At 37.5% G+C, this 24,289-nt stretch overlaps 1 protein-coding gene, 1 long non-coding RNA gene and 1 pseudogene across 8 annotated transcripts in view, besides 1 other annotated feature; 1 reads left to right on the top strand and 2 right to left on the bottom strand.

The window, feature by feature from the left end:
• The window catches only part of SLC2A13 (solute carrier family 2 member 13), a 351,057-nt gene that overhangs the window by 313,085 nt on the left and 13,683 nt on the right, over nt 1-24,289 (bottom strand). The gene's annotated exons all lie outside the window — the stretch shown is intronic.
• Nucleotides 131-549, bottom strand: RPL30P13 (ribosomal protein L30 pseudogene 13; annotated as a pseudogene).
• LOC112268095 (uncharacterized) lies at nt 4,409-17,026 on the top strand. Its single transcript, XR_002957410.2, has 3 exons — nt 4,409-4,476; nt 15,761-15,857; nt 16,943-17,026. It is a non-coding gene; the product is annotated as an uncharacterized LOC112268095 (long non-coding RNA).
• Nucleotides 19,487-19,656: an enhancer, noted in NCBI's record as "experimental_28378 CRE fragment used in MPRA reporter constructs". NCBI's record gives its function as "activates a minimal promoter by MPRAs in K562 erythroleukemia cells, with activity observed for the non-introgressed 12:40481483 variant allele {active_cell/tissue: K562}" and the evidence as "EXISTENCE:reporter gene assay evidence [ECO:0000049][PMID:34662402]".

Genomic DNA, 24,289 nt, shown 5'->3' on the forward strand with positions numbered 1-24,289 from the left:
ATGTTGCCCAGGGTGGTCTCCAACTACTGGCCTCAAGTGATCCTCCCACCTCAGCATCCCAAAGTGCTGGGATTAGGGATTACAAGGATAAACCTCTGGCAAGTTTTACTAAAGAAAAATTATTTTGCTTGGTTTACTTTTCACCAGTATCTTCTGGCATGCTTCTAAAGACATCAGAATAACCTGGATCAATGATAGCCAGTGTGCACAGTCTGTAGTATTTTCCACATGCTGTGCCCAGTCCAGTATTATTACCACTGTAGTGATGAACACCAGTTTAGGCCAACATGGTGTAGTACTCTATTGGGGATTTCCTCAAAGCTGGGCACTTGTTAGTGAGGATGACCAATTTTGCTTTTTCTTATCTAATCATCTTCAGAATCTGCTTGTACCCCAGGACATACTTTCCACTTTTCATAACAAGTTGGAGCCTAGCGTTGATCAACTCCAGTGACTTTTCCATCATTTTTGCCACCATCATATTCCTGGCTTAGGTGCCAGATGGCCCCCAACCAAGAACAGCCGCCAAGATGGCCAGGGAATGAGAAAAGCAAATTGTTCATTCTTATCATGGTGCACAAATATTTTGTTTCACAGAAAATTTAACCCTCAGAATTATAAATTTTCCCATAAATTTAAAAATAACATACTCTACAAAAAAAAAAAATCATAGACACAGCTGATAAATATCAAACTAATTAACTTAATATGAGATCTCTTGTTTTTTTTTTCTCATCCACTCACTGATGAGAGGTAAAAACAGCAGGAATATGGCCCAAAAACAAGTCACAAAGAAAGAGCTAGACAGTGCCTGAACCATCAAGAGCTGACCACAGTGTCTTCTTGTAAGAAATGTGGCCACTGGTGAACAGCCATGTCTAGGAATGTCTAGACATAAAATGGGCAGAGGAAGACAGTCTTGCATACATTTATGCATCTCATTTGTGCTTAGCTAATGGATAATTATATACTTCATACTATAGTTATAAAAATAATGTATAAGGAGAATCTAGTATAATTTTGGAAAGATTAGGTATTTAGTGTCTGTTGAAATGAAGGAGTGAGGAAAGAAAAAGAGAAATAAAAAGGAGATAAAAATACAATGTATCTAAAATCTCAAAGTCTTTCTGGTATTCACTCTTTCTGGTATTCATTCCCAGAAATAATACATTCAAAAAACATGTATAGCTTAATGAATGCAATTATACATTATACTTATTCATTAAATGTTTCCAAACAATCCTTTTAGTGGTATTTAGTAACAAATTTATCTCTCTTTTGCATCCACTCAATAAAAAAAAATTGGGTGAAAACTATGTGCATCTTAAATATGTCAAGAAATATAAAAGAAATTAAGTCAGAGAAAAAAGAAAAGTCTCCTGAACTATGGTCTCCAGTATAATAGCTGACATTTCTGTAATAGTACCTGTTATTATAATTCATTAGCAACTGCTAAATTACCAGCATCTACAGATGCTATCTTGTTACCATGGAAATGCAGAATATATGAATTAATTAGGACCATGGTTGAAAAAAAAAAGGACAGAAGGGTGCCTAGTTTCTACAGGAAGCGGTTTCCTTCAATAGCTTTTATTATTATTATTATTCATCTAACAAATATCTCATGTTTTAAAATCTAATTATTAGGCATGTAACCTTTTTTATCAGACAAGGCATCAGTTCCACATTACTTACTTGCTATGACTTCTTAAATTCTGGGTTTAATCAACAGTTTTCATGTCAATACTGTGCACCCCTAACTTTTTGCTGCTCATTATTTCTTATATACAATCAGTTTAAGAGAGCTATTTGTCATTGTTACAAAAACATTACTATCACCATGGTTCCTTTCCTTAAGAGGTAGTTTATAAACAAATTCCTGAATGGAGGTTTCCAAACACCAAAGTTATCATAAGTGAATGCAATAAGTATATTCCCTCAGAAAGGCATAAACGGAATATGATATAACCTAATTTGTCATTTATTATTAGTTTGACAAAGAGTATTATTAGAAGGCCAATTAGTCTGTATAAAATCTATGGCAGGAAAAAAAAAAAAAACTCAGAGACTTGTTGAAGTGTTTCTGGCAGAGACAGGGTAAAGAGTGCCCTGACAAACCAGTGAAAAGTTCTGCTTGATTTGGTAGATTTCTCTATACACTGGAAAGAAACCAAAAGAACATGAACATTTATCAGTCACCAACTACACTGTCCTAGGAATGCAAATAACTGCTTTGTTCTGATTACAAGTTCACCAAACAACTTTCCATAAAGGTGTCAGATCCTTCTTCTGTAAGAAGAGACAGAACAAAAAACCCCAAAACACTGACCAGCTAAACAGGGCACTTCACTTCGCTTGGTACTTCTCCTTATTTTACAAAAAGCATTCTGGTCCTTTCTCAAGTCTATTTTAGGTTGGGTTAATGGAAATAATCAGCTCTATCCCCAATCAACTCAATAAGAACTGAAAAGGAAAAAATCAACTTTACAGAACAGAAAAATAGAAGGCCAGAACCTGGATTTGGGTGATGCCAAAGTAATGCCATCCAACAAGATCCTTTTTGAACAGCCATTTTACATCTTCCCTTAAATATCAATCTTCTCAATCTCTATTCAAAATGCTTTTTCTTCTGTTGTGACCATCCTAGTTACTTCCCTTCACCTCTGGACATCCTTTAAAAATTTTTTATTGCAGCATTTTCTTATTCCTAACCACATAAAATAATAAACTCTGTTTGGCGTTTTTGTCAAAGCACTTCCAAGTCATTATCTCATTTGAAGCTTAGGGCCACCTTCGGAATATAAGCAGGACAAATATCAGCCCATATTTATATAAAGGAACAGAAGACCCAACCGGTTATATGCAGGGACTTCAAGGTGGGGATTAGGGCAGTGGTTCTCAGATATGGCCCTCTGAACCCTCTTACCTAGGGACAACTGTCACCTACTGGACACATTTGCTAAACCAGCAGAAGTTTTGCTACTGGCACTTAGTGAATACAGGCCAGAAATGCTGCTAAGCATCTTAAAAAGTCCATTTTTGGGCTCTCTGTCTCACTGATCTACGCGTGTCTATTCTTTCACCACACTGTCTTGATTACTGTCACTTTTTAGTTATTCTTCTTATTTTACTATTTTTTAAAGAGGGTACTGCTCTGTTACCCAGGCTGGTCTCGAAATTCTATTGATATGATGTGATTATTTAGTCTGTTGATGTGATAATATCAATTTTAAAAAGCTGAATCAGTCTTGCATACTTGGGACAAATCCCAATTCATAATGGTATATGTCTTTAGTGTTGAATTCAATTTTATAATATTTTATTGATGATTTCTACATCTATGTATCTGAGAGATACTGGTCTATAGTTTTCTTGTATTTTCTGGCTTTGGTATTAATACTGGCTTCATAAAATGAGTTAGAAAGCATTCCCTCTGCCTCTACCTTCTAAAGGAAATTCTAAACAATTGGTACAGTTTCTCTCTTAAATCTTTGCTAGAATTCACTTGTAAACCCATCTGAACCTGGTGCTTTCAGTTTTGGAAGGTTATGATATATTGTATCTTTCAGGGAATTGGTCCATTTCATCTAGGTTATCAAACTTGTAGGGATAGAGTTATTCATAGTATTCCTTTGTCATTTTTAATGTCCATGGAATCTGTAGTGCTGTCACCTCTTTCATATCTGATATTCGCAATTTATGTGGTCTCTTTTTTTCTTAGCCTGACTAAAGCTCTGCTTACTTTACCTTTTCAAATAACCAGTTTTTTGTTTTGTAGATTTCCTCTATCAATTTCCTGTTTCCAATTTCATTTCCACTCCAATATTTACTATTTCTTATCTTCTGCCTACCTTGGATTTAATTCCCTCTTTTCCTGTCTCCTAAGGTCAAAGCCTAGAAGACTGACTCTAGCACTTTCTCCTTCTGTTACTAAATACATCAAATACTATAAATTTAAAAGCACTGCTTTCAGTGAATCCCACAAATTTTCATTTTTCACTTTCATTTAGCTCTAAATTTTTTGCTATTTTTATTCAGATTTTTTGACTCATGTTATTTAGAAGTGTGTTGTTTAACCTGCAAGCATTTTGGAATTATCCAGCTATCCTTCTGCTGTTGATTTTGTTTAATTCCATTGTAGCCTAAGGACAGTTATTATATGATTGTATTCTTTTTAAATTGTTAAGGTTTCACAGTTCAGAATGTGTTCTACGTTCTATGTTCTATCTGAGCTAGGGAAGAATGTGTATTCTGTTGTTGGATGAAGTAGTCTACAGATGTCAGTTATATCCAGTTGAGTAATGGTGTTGTTGAGTTCAACAATGTCTGTACTGATTTTCTGCCTGCTAAATCTGGCCATTTCTGATAGAAGGGTAATGAAGTCTCCAACTATAATAGTGATTCATCTATTTTTTCCTCACAGTTCTACCAGTATTTGCATTGAGAATTTGGTCACTCTGTTATTAGGCACATAAGGTAAATTGGAGAACTAACACTTTTACCATTATAGAACTCATGTGTCTTTATCCCTGATAACTTTACTTGCTCTGAAATCTGCTGTTTGAAATTAATATAGCTAATCCTATTTTCTTTTGATTAATGTTAGCATGGCATATCTTTCCCATGCTTTTAATCCATGTGTATTTATATTTAAAGAGTTTCATATAGACAGCAATAAAGTTGGGTCTTGTTTTTATAGGCACTCCTGCAATCTGCCTTTTAATTGGTACATTTAGACCACTGACCTTCGAAGTGATTACTGACAATTAGATCAAAGTCTACCATATTTATTGTTTTCATTTATTTGTTCTTATTTTTGTCATTCACCCTTTTTCTGCCTTGTGTGGATTTAGTTGAGCATTTTACGTGATTTTATCTTCACTCCTTTCTCACCACATTGGTTATACTGCTTTCATTACTTTTTCTTTGTGCTGGCCCTAGAGTTTGCAATATACATTTACAACTAATTCAGGTCCACCTTCAAGTGCCACTAGATCATTTCATGAGTAGTATGAATACCTTATAATAGCAAAATAATGCTAATTCCTTCCATCCATCCCTTGTATAATTTCTGTCATGCATTTCACATATAAATAAGCATAAACATATACACACACACATGCACATACAAGCACATGTACACACCAGAAAGAGTCTCTGAGCTTGAGGATATATGTATGTAACAGAAACCTCCAAAACTGAAAAGCAAGGAGAAAAAATACTGGGGGGAAATGAACCATAAACAAACCATGTATATATGTGCTTAAGTATAGACAAGTATATATATAGACAAGCACACATAATCAAAGGCATTATTGCTACTATTTTCAATAAAGTGTTGTCTCAGATCAATGATTAATTAAAAAATGAAAGTTTTATTTTACCTTCATTTATTTCTCTCCAATGTTTTCTTACGTAGATCTGAGTTTCTGACATATCATTTTTTACATTTCTTGCATGGCAAGTCTACTGGCAACAAATTTCCTTTGTTTAAGCAATTTTCTATTTATCCTTGTCTTTTGAAGGAAAAATTTAACAGGGTACAAAATCCTAGACTGGTAGGGCTTCATTCTCTCAACACTTTAAATATTTCACTCCACTCTCTTCTTGCTAGCACTGTTCCTGAGAAAAAGGTATTCTTATCTTTGCTATTATATAGATAATATATAATATTATTTATTATGATCTGGCTTATTTCAGGATTTTTACCTTTGATTTTTCTGTAGTTTAAAAATGACATGCCTTCACATAGCTATTCTGCCATTTATTCTGCTTTGTCAACTAGGAAATTGTAGGATCTGTGGTTTGGCTGGGAAATGCTCAGTCATTATTGCTTCAAATATTTCTTCTTTTCCTTTCTCTCTTCCTGATATTTCTTTTATATGTATGTTACACCTTTTGTAGTTGTCCCCATGGTTCTGATATTCCGTTATGGTTTGTTTACTCCAGTATTTTTTCACTTTGCTTTTCAGTTTTGGAGGATTCTTTTAAAAACATCCTCAAGCTTGGACATTCTTTCTTCAGCCATGTCCAGTCTATTAAAGCCCATCAAAGACATTTTTTTTTTTTTTTTTGAGTCGGAGTCTTGCTCTGTCACCCAGGCTAGAGGACATGGGTGTGATCACAGCTCACAGCAGACTCCAAATCCTGAGCTCAAGGGATCCTCCCACCTCAGCCTCCCAAGTAGATGGAACTACAGGCATGCACCACCTATGTCCAGCTATTTTTAAAACTTTTTGTAGAGATGCAGTCTTAGTATGTTGCCCAGGATGGTCTCAAACTCCCAGTCTCAAGTGATTCTCCTGCCTCAGCCTCCCATAGCATTGGGATTACAGGGATGAACTGCTGCACCCAGCCCCATATTCTTCATTTCTGGCATAGTGTTTTTGATCTCTAGCATTTCTTTTACAGATTCTTAGAATTATCATCTCTCTGCTTACATTACCCATCTGTCCTTGCAAGCTATTTTATCCATTAGAGCCCTTAGCTTATTATTCATAGTTGTTTTCAGTTCCCAATCTGATGATTCCAGAACCCCTGACATATCTGAGTTTGATTCTGATGTTTGCTCTGTCTCTTCCTTCAGCCCATTTTTCCCCCTTTTACTGTATCTTCTCATTTTTTTCTTGATAGCCAGACATGACACACTGGTTAACGGATATAAATACATTGTCAGTAATAAAGTGGTAAGGTGTAGGAGAAGGAGAAACACTCTACAGTGTTATGATTAGGTCTCAAGCTTTAGTGAGGCTGTGCCTCTGGACTGGGAACTTCACAAGTGCTTCTCAGTTCTCTTCTCTCTTAGTTGGAACAGAATGGCTAGAGGGTAGAGGAGTTTAATATTCCCCTTTTCTCAAATAAAAGGCTAGAGAGAACTAGAATTGGGTGCTTTGCTTACCCCAGGCCACTTACACTGTGTTTTAACTAATTTTTTCTGAAGCAGACCTCATTTAAAAACAAAACAAAACAGAGTACTCTGGCATACTTCAAAATGGCTCCTTTTCCCTTCCTTGTGCCAGAAGCAAAGGGAAATTTTCTCAAATATTCACTGTGAAAACCTGGTAGAGCAGCAAGAGGTGAAATTCATAAGAGTGGAAGACCCCTCCACCCACTTCTGCTTACTAGGTCCTCCTGGAGTTTTTAAAATCTAAGATTTGTCCACAGTGAATCTCTAGCAATTTGTCAACTATAATGCAGGTTTTCCTATACAAGCAATGTTTCCCATGGAAGACTTTGTTAATTGGTTATCACTCAAGTAAATTATGGTTAGCTGTATCCACCTGCCTCTCCAGTTTTGGGGGTAGTGGTTTGTCCTATGACCTCACTTCTCTTTAGGTCCAGGAAGAACTGCTGATTTTTCAATTTGTCCCATTTTTTACCTGTTAGAGCAGACTGGTGACTACAAGCTCCTGATATGCCCAACAATTTCATTAGCAGCAATTTGATTATAATATTATCTGGGCATGGCTTTCTTTGAAATAATACCATTTGAAGTTTGCTGAGTTTCTTGAATCTGTAAGTTTATGTCTTTCACCAAGTTTGGAGAGTTTTCAGGCCTTGTATCTTTAAATATTTTTTCTTCAGATATTTGTTTTTCCTCTTCTGGCATTATGCTGACACAAATGTTAGAAATCCAAATATTGTCCTACAAGTCCTTAAGAGTTGGTTCATTTTTTTTCCATTTTCCCTCTTATTTTAGGTAATTTCTATTGTTTGAATTACTTATATTTATCTGTCTTAAGTTCACTCACTTTTTTCATCTCTCTCTGCCATTAAATCAATCCATTTTCCATTTGAGTCCTTTATTAAAGTACGTGTTTTTCTGTTGAGAACTTCTATCTTTCCATTCATTGCAAGTGTTTTCACTTTTATCTCTTGGATCACAGTTACCAAAGCCAATTTAAAGTTTTTGTGTGATAAATCCACCATCTGGGTCATCTTGTAGTGAGCACCTGTTATCTTTTCCCTTAGCAACTTGTCAGATTTCCCTGATTCTCTATGTTAAGTGCCTTTGCATTATATTCTGAACATGTTGGATATTATGTTTTCATTGGGTCCTGCTAAAAATGTTTTCTTAAAAGTGCAGGTTTGTTACATGGGTAAACTGCACATCACTGGAGTTTGGTGTACAAATTATTTCATCTCCCAGGTAGAGAGCATAGTACCTGATAGGTAGTTTTTTGATCCTCACCCTCCTCCCAACCTCCACCCTCAAATAAGCCCAGTCAGGGTCTACTGTTCCTCTTTGCATCCATGAGTACTCAGTGTTTAGCTCTTACTTATAAGTGAGAACATGAAGTATCTGATTTTCTGTTCTTGCATTAATTCACATTGGATAATGTTACTAGCAGCATCCATGTTGCTGGAAAGGACATGATCTGATTTTTTTTATAGTGTGTAGTATTCCATGGTGTATATGTACATTTTCTTTATCCAGTCCACCATTGATGAACATCTAGGTTGATTCCATGTCTTTGCTGTGTGAACAGTGCTGTGATGAACATATGTTTGCATGTGTCTTTATGATAGAACGAATTATATTTCTTTGGGTATATACCCAGTAAGGGGACTGCTGGATCGAATGGTAGTTCTGTTTTACATTGAGAAATCACCACAATGCTTTCCACGGTGGTTGAACTAATTTACATTACCACCACCAGCACTGTATGTGTTTCCTTTTCTCCACAGCCTCTCCAGCATGTTTTTCGTATGCTTTTTGTTTTTGACTTTTCAATAACTGCCATTCTGACTGGTATGAGATGCTATCTCATCATGGTTTTGATCTGCATTTCTTTAATGATTAATGATGTTGAGCATTTTTTCATATTCTTGTTGGCTGTGTGTGTCTTCTTTTGAAAAGTGTTCATGTCCTTTGCCCATTTTTTACTGGGGCTGTTTGATTTTTGCTTGTTGATTTAAGTTCCTTACAGAATCTGGATATTAGACCTTTGTTGGATGCATAGTTTGCAAATACTTTCTCCCATTTTGAAGGTTGTCTGTTTACTCACACTAGTTTATTTTGCTATGTAGAAGCTCTTTAGTTTAACTAGATCCTATTTCTCAATTTTTATTTTTGTTGCAATTGCTTTTGGAGTCTTCATCATGGAATCTTTGCCATGGCCTATATCTAGAATGGTATTTCCTAGGCTTCCTTCTAGACTTTTTACAGTTTTAGGTTTTATGTTTAAGTCTTTGTTCTATCTTGAGTTGATTTTTGTATATGAAGAAAGGAAAGGGTCCAGCTGCAAACTTTTGTATATGGCTAACCAGCTCTTCAAACACCATTTATTAAATAGGTAATCCTTTCCCCATTGCTTGTTATTGTCGACTTTGTCAAAGATCAGATGGTTGTCAGTGTGCAGCTTTATTTCTGGGTTCTCTAACCTGTTCCACTCCTCTATATGTCTGTCTTTGTACCAGTATCATGCTGTTTTGGTTACTGTAGCCATGTAATATAGTTTGAAGTTGGTAGGATGATGCCTCTGGCTTTTGTTCTTTTAGCTTAGGATGGTTTTGGCTATGCATTCTCTTTTTTGGTTGCATATGAATTTTAGAATAGTTTTTTCTAATTCTGTGAAAAATGATATAGGTAGTTGGGTAGAAATAGCATTGAATCTGTAAACTGAGTTGGACATATGGCCATTTAAACAATATTAACTTTTCCTATCCATGAACATGGAATGTTTTTCCATTTGTTTGTGTTCTCTTCAACTTCCTTTAGCAGTGTGTGGTAATTCTCATTGCACAGATATTTCACTTCCCTGTATAGCTGTATTCCTAGATATTTTATTATTTTTGTGGCTTTTGTGAATGGGATTGCATTCTTGATTTGGCTCTCGGCTTCAACGTTATTGATGTATAGAAATGCTACTGATACTTGTACATTGATTTTGTATCCTAAAACTTTGCTGAAGTTGTTTATCAATTCTAGAAGCCTCTGGAGAGAGAGTATGGGGTTTTCTAGATATACAATTATATCATCTGTAGATAGATATGGTTTGACTTCCTCTCTTCCTATTTGGATGACTTTTACTTTTCTCTTGCATGATTGCTCTGGCTAGGACATCCAGTACTATGCTGAATAGGAGTGGTGAGATTGGGCATCCTTGTCTTGTTCTGGTTCTCAAGGAAAATGATTCCAGGTTTTACCCATTCGTTATAATGTTGGCTGTGGGTCTGTCATAAATGGCTCTTATTATTTTGAGGTTTGTTCCTTCAATGCCTACTTTGTTGAGGGTTTTTTTACACGAAGGAATGTTGAATTTCATTGAAAGCCTTGTCTGTGTCTATTGAGATCATCATGTGGTTTTCAGTTTTATGTGATAAATCACATAGATTTCCATATGTTGAATCAACCTTGCATCCCAGGAATAAGGCCTATTTGATTGTGGTGGATTAGCTTTTCGATGTGCTGCTGGATTCAATTTGCTAGTGTTTTGTTAAGGATTTTTGTGTCTGTGTTCATCAGGGATATTAGCCTGAAGTTTTCATCTTTTATTGTGTCTGCCATATTTTGGTATTAGAATGATCTGGCCTCATAATGAGTCAGAGAGGAGTCCCTCTTACTCAATATTTTCTAGAAGTTCCAATAGGATTGATACCAGCTTTTCTTTATACATCTGATAAAATTCAGCTGTAAATCCCTCTGGTCCAGGGCTTTTACTGGTTGGTAGGTTTTTTATTACTGATTCAATTTCAGAACTCATTATTGATCTGTTCAAGTATTCCATTTCTTCCTAGTTCAATCTTGAGAGGTTTTACATTTCCAGGAATTTATCTATTTTCTCTAGGTTTTCTAGTTGGTGTGCATAGAGGTATTCGTAATAGTTTCTGAGGGTTCTGTTTTCTGCATTTCTGTGGGGTTGGTGGTAATGTCATCTTTGTCATCTCTGTGTTTATTAGGATCTTTTTTCTTTATTGGTCTAGCTAACAGTCTCTCAATCTTATGCATTCTTTCGAAGAACCAACTTTTGGTTTCATCAATCTTTTATATGAATTTTCACCTGTGGTTTTTGTTCAGTTCAGCTCAGATTTTTGTTATTTTCTTTTGCTAGCTTTAGGGTTGGCTCCCTCTTGTATTTCTAGTTCCTCTAGGTGTGATGCTGGGTTGTTAATCTGAGCTCTAACTTGATGTAAGCATTTAGCACTATAAACTTTCCTCTTACCACTGCTTTAGCTGCATCCCAAAGATTCAGGTGAGTTGTATCTGTTTCCATTAATTTCAAATAACTTATTGATTTGTACCTTAATTTCACTCTACACAAAAGTCATTCAGGGACAGGTTAATTTCCAAGTAATTGTACAGTTTGGGGGATCTTCTTGGTATTGATTTCTATTTTTATTGCACTGAGGTCTGAAAGACTGGTTGGTAGGGTTTTGTGTTTGTTTTTGTTGAGAATTGCTTTATGGCCAAATGTGTGGTCAATGTTAGAGTATGTGCCATGTGCAGGTGAGAAGAATGTACATTCTGTTGTTGTTGGGTGGCATATTGTATAGATGTCTTTTAGATCCATGTGGTTAAGTGTCAAGTTTAGGTCCCTAGTATCTGTTTCTTTCCTGCCTCGATGATCTAACACTGTCAGTGACATGTTGAAGTCTCCCATTATTATTGTGTGGTTATCTAAGTCTCTTCATAGGTCTCTTACAAACTTGTTTTATTGATCTAAGCACACCAGTGTTGGGTGCAAATATACTTAAGATAGTTAAGACTGTTTATTTAGTTGAACCATTTATCATTATGTAATGTCCTTCTTTGTCCTTTTTATTTTTTTGAGATGGAGTCTCACTCTGTGCCACCCAGCTGGAGTGCAGTGGCACAATCTCAGCTCACTACAACCTCCATCTCCCAGGTTCAAGTGATTACCATGCCTCAGCCTCCCAAGTAGCTGGTACAGCTGTACACCACCACACCTCGCTAATTTTTTGCATTCTTAGTAGAGACAGGGTTTCACCATGTTGGCCAGGCTGGTCTTGAACTTCTGACCTCAGGTGATCTGCCCACCTTGGCCTCCCAAAGTGCTGGGATTACCGGTGTGAGCCACCGCACCTGGGTTCTTTGTCCTTTTTGACCATTGATGGCTTAAAGTCTATTTTTTTCTAAATAAGAATAGCAACTCTTGCTCTGTTTGCTTGATAGATCTTTCTCCATCCCTTTACTTTGAGCCTATGAGTGGGTTTGCATTTCAGATGGTCTCCTGAAGGTAGCATACAGTTGGGTCTTCTTCTTTATGCAACTCGTCACACTCTGCCTTCAAAGTGGGCATTTATCCTGTTTATGTTCAAGGTTTTGTTTTGTTTTTGAGAGGGGGCCTTGCTCTGTCACCCAGACTGGAGTGCAGTGGTGCCATCTCAGCTCACTGCAACCTCTGCCTCCCAGGTTCAAGCAATTCTCCTGCCTTAGCCTCCTGAGTAGCTGGGATTACAGGCATGTGCCACTATGCCTGGCTATTTTTTTGTATTTTTGGTAGAGACGGGGTTTCATCATGCTGGCCCAGCTGGTCTCGAACTCCTGACCTCAGGTGATCCACCTGCCTCAGTCTCCCAAAGGGTTGGGATTACAGGCATAAGCCACAACACCTGGCCTTGTTTAAAATGTTCAAGGTTAATATTGATGTTAAGATTTGATCCTGTCAACATGTTGTTAGTAGGTTGTTATGCAGACTTGATTATATAATTGCTCTATAGTGTCAGTGGGCTAGGTACTTAAGTGTTTTTATAGTGGCAGATAATAGTATTTCATTTCCATTTTTAGCACTTGCTTAAGCATCTCTTGTAAAGCAAGTGTGGTGGTAATGAATTCCCTTAGTGTTTGCTTGTCTGAAGAAAATTTTATTTCTCCTTTGTTTATGAAGTTTAGTTTGGCTGGAAATGGAATTCTTGGTTGAAATTTCTTTTCTTTAAGGCTGCTGAATATAAGCCCCCCAATCTCTTCTGGCTTGTAAGATTTCTGCTGAAAGGTCTGCTGTTAGCCTAATGAGATTCTCTTTGTATATGACCTGCCCCTACTCTTTGATCTGCCTTTAATATTTTTTCTTTCACATTGACTTTGGAGAATCTGATGACTATCTATCTTCAAGATGGACATCTTGTAGTATATTGCTGAGGTTCTGTGAATTTACCAAATTTGCATGTTGACCTTTCTAGTGAGGTTGGGGAAATTTTCCTGGACAATATCCACAAAAACGTTTTCCAAGTTGCTTGCTCTCTCTGTCTTTCTCGAATGTAAATGAGTTGTAGGTTTGGTCTCTTCACATAATCCCTTATTTCCCAGAGGTTTTGTTCATTTTTATTTTTTTTATTTTGTCCAACTGAGTTGATTCAAAGAACTGGTCTTCAAGCTCTGAGATTCTTTCCTCAGATTGGTCTATTCTGCTTTAATACTTCTGACTGTATTATGAAATTCTTGTAGATTTTCACCTCTAGAAGAACAGTTTCTTTCTTAAAATGGCTATTTCATCTTTCAGTTCCTGTATCATTTTATTGGAATCCTTAGATTCCCTGGATTCAGTTTCAACTTTCTCCTAAATCTGGACGACCTTATTTGCCATGCAAATTCTGTATTCTATGCCATAATTTCAGTGATTTCAATCAAGAATCCTTGCTGTCGAGCTCATGTGGTCATTTGGAGGTAAGATGACACTCTCTGGCTTTTTGAATTGCCAGAGTTTTGCACTGGTTCTTTCTCATCTGTGTGAGATGATGTTTCTTTAATCTTTAAAGTTGCTGTCCTTCATATAGGGCTTTTTGCTTTTTATATTCTTTGATGCCCTTGAGGGTTTGACAGTGGTATAAGCTGGGTATAAATTGATTGGCTTCATGTCTGGATGATTGCAGGGGGCCAAGGCTCAGCTTAGCATTCCTAGGCTGTGTGCTCTAACCCTGGGGACCTGGGACCAGGCCCACAGCCTTTTTTCTCTGGCCCCTTGAGGTTAAGCTCCTGCTGTGCTGAAGGGGCTGAGGTGTTCCCAGTCTGCTGGTAACACTCCAATGCAGTCTGCCAGCAAAAGGGCTTCGGCAAGGCAGCAGGGGTCCCTGCACATGTGTGCACCAGTGACAGTGTGGTAGTGAGGTTAGCATGCACACGGCATGTACACATAGTGTTCACTGAGCAATCCTGTGACTCAACCCTACAAAGTTAAAAGCCAGGAGGTTAAGAAAGATGATACAAACAGTAAATTCAGCCATACCTGTTGGTCTTCAAATTTTGACTTCCCTACCCAATCTGCCTGCTGTTGCTTACTTTTCAGAATCCTCAGTTGCATTTTGCATTATTTCCAGAGTTTTGAGTTGTAATCAGTTACAACTCCTACAGAAGCTCTCTGTGAGGATGGATATTCTAACAAAAGAGCTATGGCAGTAGCTGCCGGCAAGTGCCTCAGCTGGGCAACCAAGGCCATGCTGCAAGCAGGTGTGGCCAGGCAGGGACCCTGGGATAGGCCAGCAAATAGGGGGACACTCAGATCAGACAGGCCCCTTCCCATGAGCAAGATATGCTCTGTCCAGGTCTGGCAGCCAAAAAGGCTAAAGCCACCTAGAGGAGTACAGTGGGCCTTGAAGGATGAGCACCCATGACTATGCTCCACTGCAGCCATTCCCACGCCAGACCCCTGGGGATCCATGCAAGCTGGAGTTCTGTCTCTGCCAGCTCAAATATCCATAGGGGTTATGGGGTCTCCTGCAGTGAAGATACTAGAGGTCTGTAACGAGAGTGGGCCACTCCAAGCCTATTTCACTCGCCCATTCCCCAGGAGCTGCTCAGGGTCAGGAATAAGTCCTGGTGCTCAGCAACTCCATGCAGGGTTTCCTCCCCCACTTCAGCCCGGGGTCTGTATCCTTCTTCTGTCTACTCTCAATACCTTCTTTCTGAAGATCTGTTTGGAGTATGCAGTTCTTCCTGATGGTCTGGTTTCTCAGTGGGAGAAGTTCTTCCTGTCTGCATCTAGTCAGCCATCTTGTTAAATAGCAATTTTCAATAGCTATGTTATTCAGATTACTCAGGAGATAGACTGGGACTGTGTAGTACCTTATGTCACAGTTCTGTACTCAAAACATTTGCTGTGCCCCTTTGGGTCTGAATTGTGCATGTGCTGCTTAGGGGTGAGCTCAGGACTTGTTTCAGCTTATACACAGAAACAGAAGATCCCCTTTTTCAGCTCTCTTCTCCACCACTTCCCTGACCCCTCTGGCCCCTAGGGTCCTCTTTTCCAAATCTGCTATGCATAAAACCAGGATTTTCTCTTAGAACTTAATCCCTTACACTGTTTTTCAGTTCCACATAATTGGGACTGTCCTTGCAGCATACCAGCAAGGGAAACTACAGAGAAAAAATAACTGATTCCCTCCCACACTCTCTAGACCCCAGGGATCCCTTTTCTATTTCCTTTGTACAGAAAGAGGGCTGTATCTCAGCATCCATAGTGCTATACTACTGCCATCACCACTGCAGCACTGCAGGTTTTTAACTGGGCTGGCCTCAAGGCAGGGCAAGGAGAAAAAGGAAAAAAAGGATGGGGAACTCCTCCCATATCTTCTGGCTCACAAGGGTCCCTATTCTGAATCTTCTGACTAGAAGGAGGGGGTTTCTGTTGGGCTTTTCTGCCATTGGTGTTCAATGAGCAGTCCTGGGACTCACCCCTCCAAAGGTAAAAGCCAGGAGATTAAGAAAGAAAAGATGATACAAACAGTAAATTCACTGCCAGTCCAGTAGGTCTTCAAATTTTGACTTCCCTACCCAATCTTCCTGCTGTTGTTTACTTTTCAGAATCCTCAGCTGCATTTTGCATTATTTCCAGAGTTCTTGGTTGTAATCAGTGGAGAGACAGGCTGTGGAAGACTTACCCCATTTCGATCAACACCAGGTATCATTCATTATACTTTAAAATGCATTCACCTTTACTGTACACAGTACCAATACAAGTATAGATTTGGGAGGCAGTAAAAGGCAATATTAGAATAAATGCTCCGAATATCAGATACTGAACCAAAAGCTCTTTAACTGATATATTTGAATGTGTCTAATAAAAGATGAAGTACACATCTGGCAGGGTAACTGCAAATCTATACTAAGATATTGTAAAAAATGATCAAACAGGAAACTCTAGATCTGGCTCATGCTGTGCTTTCTTCTTACAAATACTTCCAACTTCTGCCACCAGGCTCTCAAGTACTTACCTGTGTGTTCTATCCATCAATAGCTATTTTGAAACTGTGTCATTTGGCTTAGAATTGTGTGGTCTATAAAAACACAAAGCCACTTTTTAATGCAACAGTTTTCCATTAAAAAGCACTCTTTCAAAGACTGCACTCTTCAACTTCAGCAAGATGTCTTAAATAACAAGAAACACACAAATAGCCAGCAAGCCAAGCTTACTCACGGGGCTGGCTCAAATAACAAAATTCAACCTAAGTCAGGTCACTGGAAATGAAGAGTTGTCCAGGACTGAGCACCAAATCCAATGGAGCATTCTATTGAAAGTTAAAATGTTTTTAGGGTAAATGTAAAAAATTATACTATAAGGCAGCACTGGGCTTACAGCTTCATTTTTTTTTAAATGAATTCATGTTATGTATTTAGCATTTTGTAAATGTATGAGACTAGGATTGAGGACTCCTCTTAAGGCCTGATGCTCCACTTGCTGTCTGTGATAGTGTGAAATATTTATTAGGTCTTCCACCCTTGTTTCATGGCATACAACTCCTAAAATCCTTAGACTCTGCAAAGTGATGTCTTTTTGTATGCTAGTAAGTTGACAGATGACTGGTAGCCCCTAGGCAGCTTCAGGATAAGGGTTGGTCACTGGAAAAACCAAGGCAGGATTAGATGGTTGGGACCCCCAACCTACAAGGGGAGAGAAGCTGAAGGTTAAGTTGGTAACCAGTCGCCAATGGTTTAATCAATTATGCCTAGGTAATGATATAATTGATTATGACACTTCTTTAAAAGGTGAAAAGGGCTGAGTTCAGAGCACTTCTCGACAGATGAACATATGGAGGTTGACAGGAAGGGAACAAAAACTCATCCATGTACCAACAGTGGAGGACTCCACCTCCACAGGGACAAAATCTCCTGTGCTCAGGACCCTTCCAAGTCTTGCCCTATGTATCTCTTTATCTGTTTGTATCCTTTGAAATAAACCAGTAAACCAAACTGTTTTCTGATTTCTGTGAACCACCCTAGAAAATTAATATAACCCAAAAAAGGTGTTGTAAAAACTCCAACTTGAAGTAGTTGGTTGGTCAAAGTTCCAGAGACCCAAATTTGCAACCGGTGTCTGAAGGCTGTTGGCATTGGGGGTGGTGGCAGGTCTTGAGGACTGTGCCCTCAACCTGTGGAATCAGACGCTATTTCTAGGGTGACAGTGTGAGAACTGAATTAGAGGACATCCAGCTGGTGTCTGCTGCAAAACTGATTGCTTGTTAGTGGGGAGAAATCCCCCACATTTGGTCACAGAAGTCTTTTGTGTTGACTGTTGAGTGAGAGAATTAAAAAATATACTTTTGAGTATGTTTTTATACTCACAGTGTCCATTTCACATTGCAGAAGGGGCCTAAGTAGGTGGCAGATCATGACAGTACTCCTTTTTCTTTCTTATCTGGCCAATGAAATGGCTATGTTAGAAGGAACTTTACATATAACTTGTACTTTACAGAAGAGAAAGCAAGCTCAAGCATTAAGTGACTTATCTAAAATCACATATTTACATAAAAGATTTGAAAGCAGGACCCAGGATTTCCAATTTCACGTCCCGCATTCCTTCTGCTACTCCCATCTTCTTTTTTTTTTTGAGACAGAGTCTCGCTCTGTCACCCAGCCTAGAGTGCAGTGGCACAATCCCAGCTCACTGCAACCTCCACCAAGTAGCTGGGATTAAAGGCACATGCCACCATGCCCAGCTAATTTTTGTATTTTTAGTAGCGACAGGGTTTCACCATATTAGTCAGGCTGGTCTTGAACTCCTGACCTCGTGATCCACCGGCCTCGGCCTCCCAAAGTGCTGGGATTACAGGTGTGAGCCATCGTGCCTGGCCCTCCCTGCTGCCTTCTAAGAAAGAGCAAAATCTGGGAAACTTCTGAAGTGATGGCACCTGGGAGATGCTGAGCAAGGCACCAATCACGGATGCATTGGCAATCAGAATGCAGGTGGCATGGGAGGGTATTTTTTTTTAATCCCACTACTCCCCACCTGATATCACCTCTCTGAATAACCGGTTAATCTGAATACTTTTCATTTTATATACTCATAAAAATAAATAAAAATAAACACCTGTGGCCATGATAAAAGAAAATATGGTCTTTTCCTTTAGTGCCACTTGTTTTTGTAACCAGCTGTTAAGAAAAACACAGCAGTAAATCTGAGAAATGACATGGGCCATCAAACAAGCTACATGTCTATTCTCGCCTATTCTCTAGCTACATGTCTATTTCATCTCTATATATAAGAAATATTTTCCCCCATTGGTTAAATACACCACATGCTTTTTCTTATTACACCAACAGCAGAAGGCAATTCAGACAAGACAGTCTTAAAAGCAAATCAGTTACAAATACGAGAAGAAACAAGACATGCATTGTTGTCTCCTATCCACAAGCTGAATGACAAGGAAGAACTGGGCATTCATAGGCGTCAGGACTAAACTGATAGGTAGTGCGATTATGTGTTGCCTCTAAACCAAGGGCAGATCAGGATTGTTCCCTGGACCTAATACTGCAGTATGTTTCTGGAGAAATCTCCAAATTGTGGGAGACCTGTCAAGCTCATTTTCTCTAATGCAGTTACCAACGGCCAGTCCCAGGACACATATTTTCCTCACCTAATCCCAAGAGGCATAATTAGGTCTTGAGACAGGACATCAAAACCAACTCTACAACCTTACCTCCCAATTGCTTGGTAGCTCTGACAGTGAAAGTGGACAAAATGTACCCAGTCCTCAGATTGATTTCCTCTAATCTCAGGCCGTTTGCTCTGGTTACTGAAGACACAACCACACACATCCTCCTCAATCTTCCATACCTCTCACTACCACCTTTGGCTGTATCTTCCATTCAGAAAGGATCCTTCAAAGTCTTAAAAGCAAGTAATTTTTAAAATAAAGGTAATCACCTATTTGGCTTTCCAAAGGCCCCTGATAATTGAGCTAAGACTCTTGAAGCTACTTTCAAGAGTGTAACTTTAGAGTTTAACATTTTCATAGTACTCACTAAATCTCTTAGTCTTTCTCTCCCTCTCTCCTTTCTCTTCCAGTCTATACCCCTCTGTGTTTCTTCCATTCATCAGTCATGGTCATATTAGTTGTAATACTTTAGAAGTAAATATCAAAACGCTTTAAGCTTTAAATGAAAAAACTGAGTTTTTAAGACCCCTGTGGCTTTCAAATAACCTTTTTCTCCTGGAAGAGTGTTACCTACAATAGAAAAATTTCTACACATTCTTCTGTTCATTCTCCTTCCCAATGCTCCCATTTATGTAACCCACAAGCATTTACTAAATAAATATCTACTATGTGCCAGAGGCTATGATAGATCCTGGGATAAACACAAAAACATGGTCCCTGTCCTTAAGGAACTCTTACCTCATAAGAGACCAGAGTAAGCCAACACTACCAGGAGGTTACATGTACCAGTTAACCTTCTGTACTACTACTTAATACTCATTAAACCACCATGAAGTGGATAAAGCTGAGAAACCTAGGGCTCAGAAGGGGTTAATTTGTACAAATTCATAAAACTCACTAGTATAAATTAAATAATTTGTACTAATTATAAGTACAAATAACTATAATTTATACTGATTATAAGTACAAATAACTATAATTTATACTGATTGTAAGTATAAATATCCTTTTACACTATTCCATTGAGGCAGGTGCATGGTAGATATGTTAAAACTAAAATGAAACAGCAGATAACATTTACTGTATACTACCATGTGCCAGGCACTGTTCCAAGAGTTTCATACAGTTTGTCTTATGATTCTGTGAGACAGGTTTTCTTCAATAACCTGAAAATAAGTTTAATCTATTAAAAGGAGTAAATGGCATAACATTTCTTTAAGACATAAAGCTCAAAAGGGGGACAGGTAAAGACACTAAGTACAAAAGTATAGACAGTTCTCACTCAAAAGAAGAAAAAATTGCTTGGTAGGATCTGAACACTTCCTCAACATCTAAACTGAAAAAGATGATGCAAACACTGTCTAATTAGACCACTTTATTTTAACTGCTCTCTCTAAAACCTCAACATCATATATTAGAAGGAATTACAAGTTAGAAGAAATTGTAGCTGACCAGTCACTCAACTCTTTGTGGGGAGAACTGTCAATTTTTCAAAAGACCTTTTTTTTACTTTTTGAAGCCAGTCATCATAATGGCTACCTTTTGAGGAAAGTAACCATTACCTCAACAGCTGCTGCAGCTCCAAAGCTCTACAGAAGTGGGATTTGGGGGAGTTAGTCTAGCTGTAGAAAAGCTAGGGGTCTTGTCTTGGAGCTGTGTTAATACAGCAAGCACAGTATGTATATTGCATGTTACAGATCAATAAACATGGTAAGACTTTCTAAAAATGCTTTTTATTCACACTTTACTTAAGATTAAGAAACCTCAAAAACACCAAAGTGTGGTAGGGGTGTAGCAGGGGAGACACAAAAGAAGAGACAGGAAGGGGCTGAGACCCTAAGCTCCAGAAGAGGTATGTGATAAAATGAGTGGGATAATAAATTCCTTGGTGAAGTATGTTTTTTAACAACAAAAAAATTGAAGATGAATGTTTATCCTAGCATGGTAAAATGTGTGGTATGAAGGCAGCACCCACTGGTTTTGAGAGTCTATTAGTCTGTGAATATCTGATCTCACTCAATTATAACTAAAGAAATAATTTCTAGTATTCAGAAATTTGAAAATTTACCAAAAATGTGCTTTAAGAGCACAAGATTATTTGCAAGTCAATCACCTCAAGAACACTAAATAATTGGTTTTCTTCAGAGGAATCATGCAAATGGCAGAATGAATCACTGAAAGAGTCAGGAGAGGACTGAGGTGCTTCAGAGGGTGCTAGGGGCATATGGCTTTCAGAGTGGTCATCTCCGTACTTTATAAACTCTCTCTGTAAAAAGAACATAATGTTCTTGATTTCATAACAAAAGACCTAAAATATATCCAAGAAAAGTGAATTTGATAATGTAAAAGTCAGAAGCCAAAAGTAATCAAATAGAATAACTCAGGTGTTGTCAGTGAGCCAACCAACATCTACTGAACTCTCATAGAAGTTACAAAAAAAGAGACACTGTCTTCCTCTTTAGTAATTTGCAATCTTGAGGATCTCAGATGATTTATTCCATTTCAGGGGACAAATTCTCTGGCAGCTTTGATGAAACCATTTCTCAATTGTAATCAATAAAGAAGCTTGAGAATTTTAGAATCAAGCGGGACTAGAGAAGCCCTTCAGTCAGGCTCTGAATACAAGGAAGACTTCTTCATCTCCTCAACAAAGGTCACCCTGCACCTTACACTGACCGCCTCCCTGTATAGACTTTGTAAACTCTCTCCTAGTGTTCTCTGTAAGGAGTCTGTCTCACTGTTGGTCAGCTCTAAGAGTGGATTAACGGCAATAATGCAAATATATTTAAAATGTAAAATATATGGAGATATACATATTATAAATACATTTCCTATGAATTTTAACTTTTCTTAGTTTTTAACAGCATTCCAGTATCTTAAAGTTATTTTTAATATTAGCTCTGTTATCAAGCATAACAGCCATTTAGCTTGCTCTGGGCTCCCTGGATTTGACAAGCACAGAGCTGAAGGACTGAGCGCTTGATTGCACCCCAGTAGAGACCTTCTGGGCCCACTTTTCAACACTGACAAGGCATCCTACTAAACCATGTTTGCTTCTTTTTTTTTATTGGCCAAATTTCAGAGATTAAAGTTTATTTTGCTCACTTATTTTGTTTATTAACACAAAGAAAATGTTCTTCAAATATATTCAATGAAAGAGGAGTATGCCAAATGCTTTATATGCAGAATTTTCCTAATCTACTCACCAAGAAATGGTTTCAAAGGAAAAACAAAAGAGATTAGTTTAATAAGGCATATTTCTAGTGAACACACAAAAGTTCCTAGTAATCATCAGACTCTTTTCTAAATGCTTCCAAATCTTCATTAATAATATTTTATAATTTTGCTAGAAACTAGTCATGTTTATTCATCTTAATTCCTAGAATTCATTCCCTTTTTAACAATTAAGGCACTATTTGCTCATATGGCTTATCTCTGCGTATCTTATCTTCATGACTGCTTAAAAATAAAGAAAAATTTACTGACAGTGGCTTTGAGTTTATGTCTATAAATCATTTTGAGTTAGATTAAGTAGCCAGATGTTCACTTAAAGCAAATAAAAGGTAACTATTAACCATAGCAGCAGCTATCCATAGGCAAAGTTTTAATGCTTATTAATAACTATAATTCTGTATTCTTAATATATATTCATGTTTATTTGAAAATGCATGTCATATTTAGAAACTAAAATTTTGAAAATAATCCAGACTCTAATGATCTCTTGCACAGATGAATAAATAACTGCATAATTACCAAACAAATGTAACAAAGTCATGTGTTTCTTTTGCAACATTCATGATTTCCTTAATCAGGTTATAAACCTTTTTTTAAACAGGGTTCTTACCTCCCCAGCCTCAAGAACTATTCATTCATAATAAATAAAGTCCTTTAGATTTGTCTATTTTATATTATCTATGAAGAAGTAAAAAACTCACTGCCTCAGAATCTTTAGTAAGATATTCTTGGTAAAGATGTGCACATGCAGATACAATCATGCATTGCTTAGCCACAGCGACACATTCTCAGGAATACATTTTGCAAACTTCATAGAGTGTCCTTACACAAACCTAAATGGTACGGCCCACTACATACCTAAGCTATATGCTATAGCCTACTGCTCCTAGGCTACAAACCTGTACAGCATGTTATTGTACTAAATACTGTAGGCAACTGTAACACAATGGTATTTTTGTATAAACATGGCTAAACATAGAAAAGGTACAGTAAAAATGCAGTATTATAATCTTATGGGACCACCATCCTATACGCAGTCATCCTCCACTGAAATGTCATTATGTGGCACATGGCTGAACTTTATGTTGTGTAAAATAAGATCCTTGAATTCCACTTTATGCACTGTAATTTGTACAGTAGGTCAAAAATAGAGTATCCTCATTCACTTGAATGTCATTAGATTCTTTATAATTTACTTATGTTGACACTATTGTTAAAACTTTATTCTACAGGATAAGGAGGAAATCTAAAATTAAAAGCTTATTGCTAGACTTTTTTGCTGTGTTTTTGCAAACTATTATAAAAGCCTGTACTTCAATTAAAGTTGAAATTGGCCAACTACTGGCAACAAAGAATAATGGCATGTCATATATTTGATGCATTAAATTCCCTTTCTTTTTGTACAATCCTAAATTTCAAGGTTCAAATTATGAACTACGAAAATTTCAAAATGTCTTTCTCTCCTTAACCAGAAACTATAAAGGTGAAATGAGGTAACTAACTCATTTGTACTCATACTACCTAATATGCAAATTACAGTCCTACAGAGGTTTTAATTACACATGTGCCAGGAAAACTTAATTCAGGACAGTCTGGTTTTGTTCACCAATCCAAAATATGTTGATGTCTGTCTCCAACAGAGATAAAATGGGAAGAAAAATTCACATTAATTACTACAATAATGGCTAATGTTTTCTGAGCATGTGCTAATAAGCAGCAGGAATTACGTTTAACTTTTAACAGAAAATAGTTTATCAATTAATCCATACAATAACTCTATGAATTAGGTTTTTGTGAAACCTGACTTGCCAGCTCCAGGTAGACCTCATCAACCTTCCTCTGCACGACTGTGTCTTACATATTTTTCTATTACTGTCTGTATTAATGACATATGAGTATCACTATGGGCAGTAATAGAGGTGTCATAGAGAGAGGTATAATAAGGTCTGTCTGGGGTGGCAAGAATGGTTTCACAAGTATAGAGGGTTTATGGGGTAAGATTAAAAACTAGAACAGTAAACCAGGAAATGTGGCTCAAGCCAAGTCTTCACAGCATAATTTAATTATTTTGTTGGACAATGTAACTTTCCACATTTATTTGAAGCACTCATATTCAAATATAAGCTTAAAATGCAATATTAAGACCAGTGTTTTAATTATCACAATTTGGACTGGTGAGAGTGCCACTCCATTTGCTATGAAGAGTTGCAGATTGGCTTCACTT

Source organism: Homo sapiens, chromosome 12 (genome assembly GCF_000001405.40).
Source record: "Homo sapiens chromosome 12, GRCh38.p14 Primary Assembly".
NCBI classification, from domain to species: domain Eukaryota; kingdom Metazoa; phylum Chordata; class Mammalia; order Primates; family Hominidae; genus Homo; species Homo sapiens.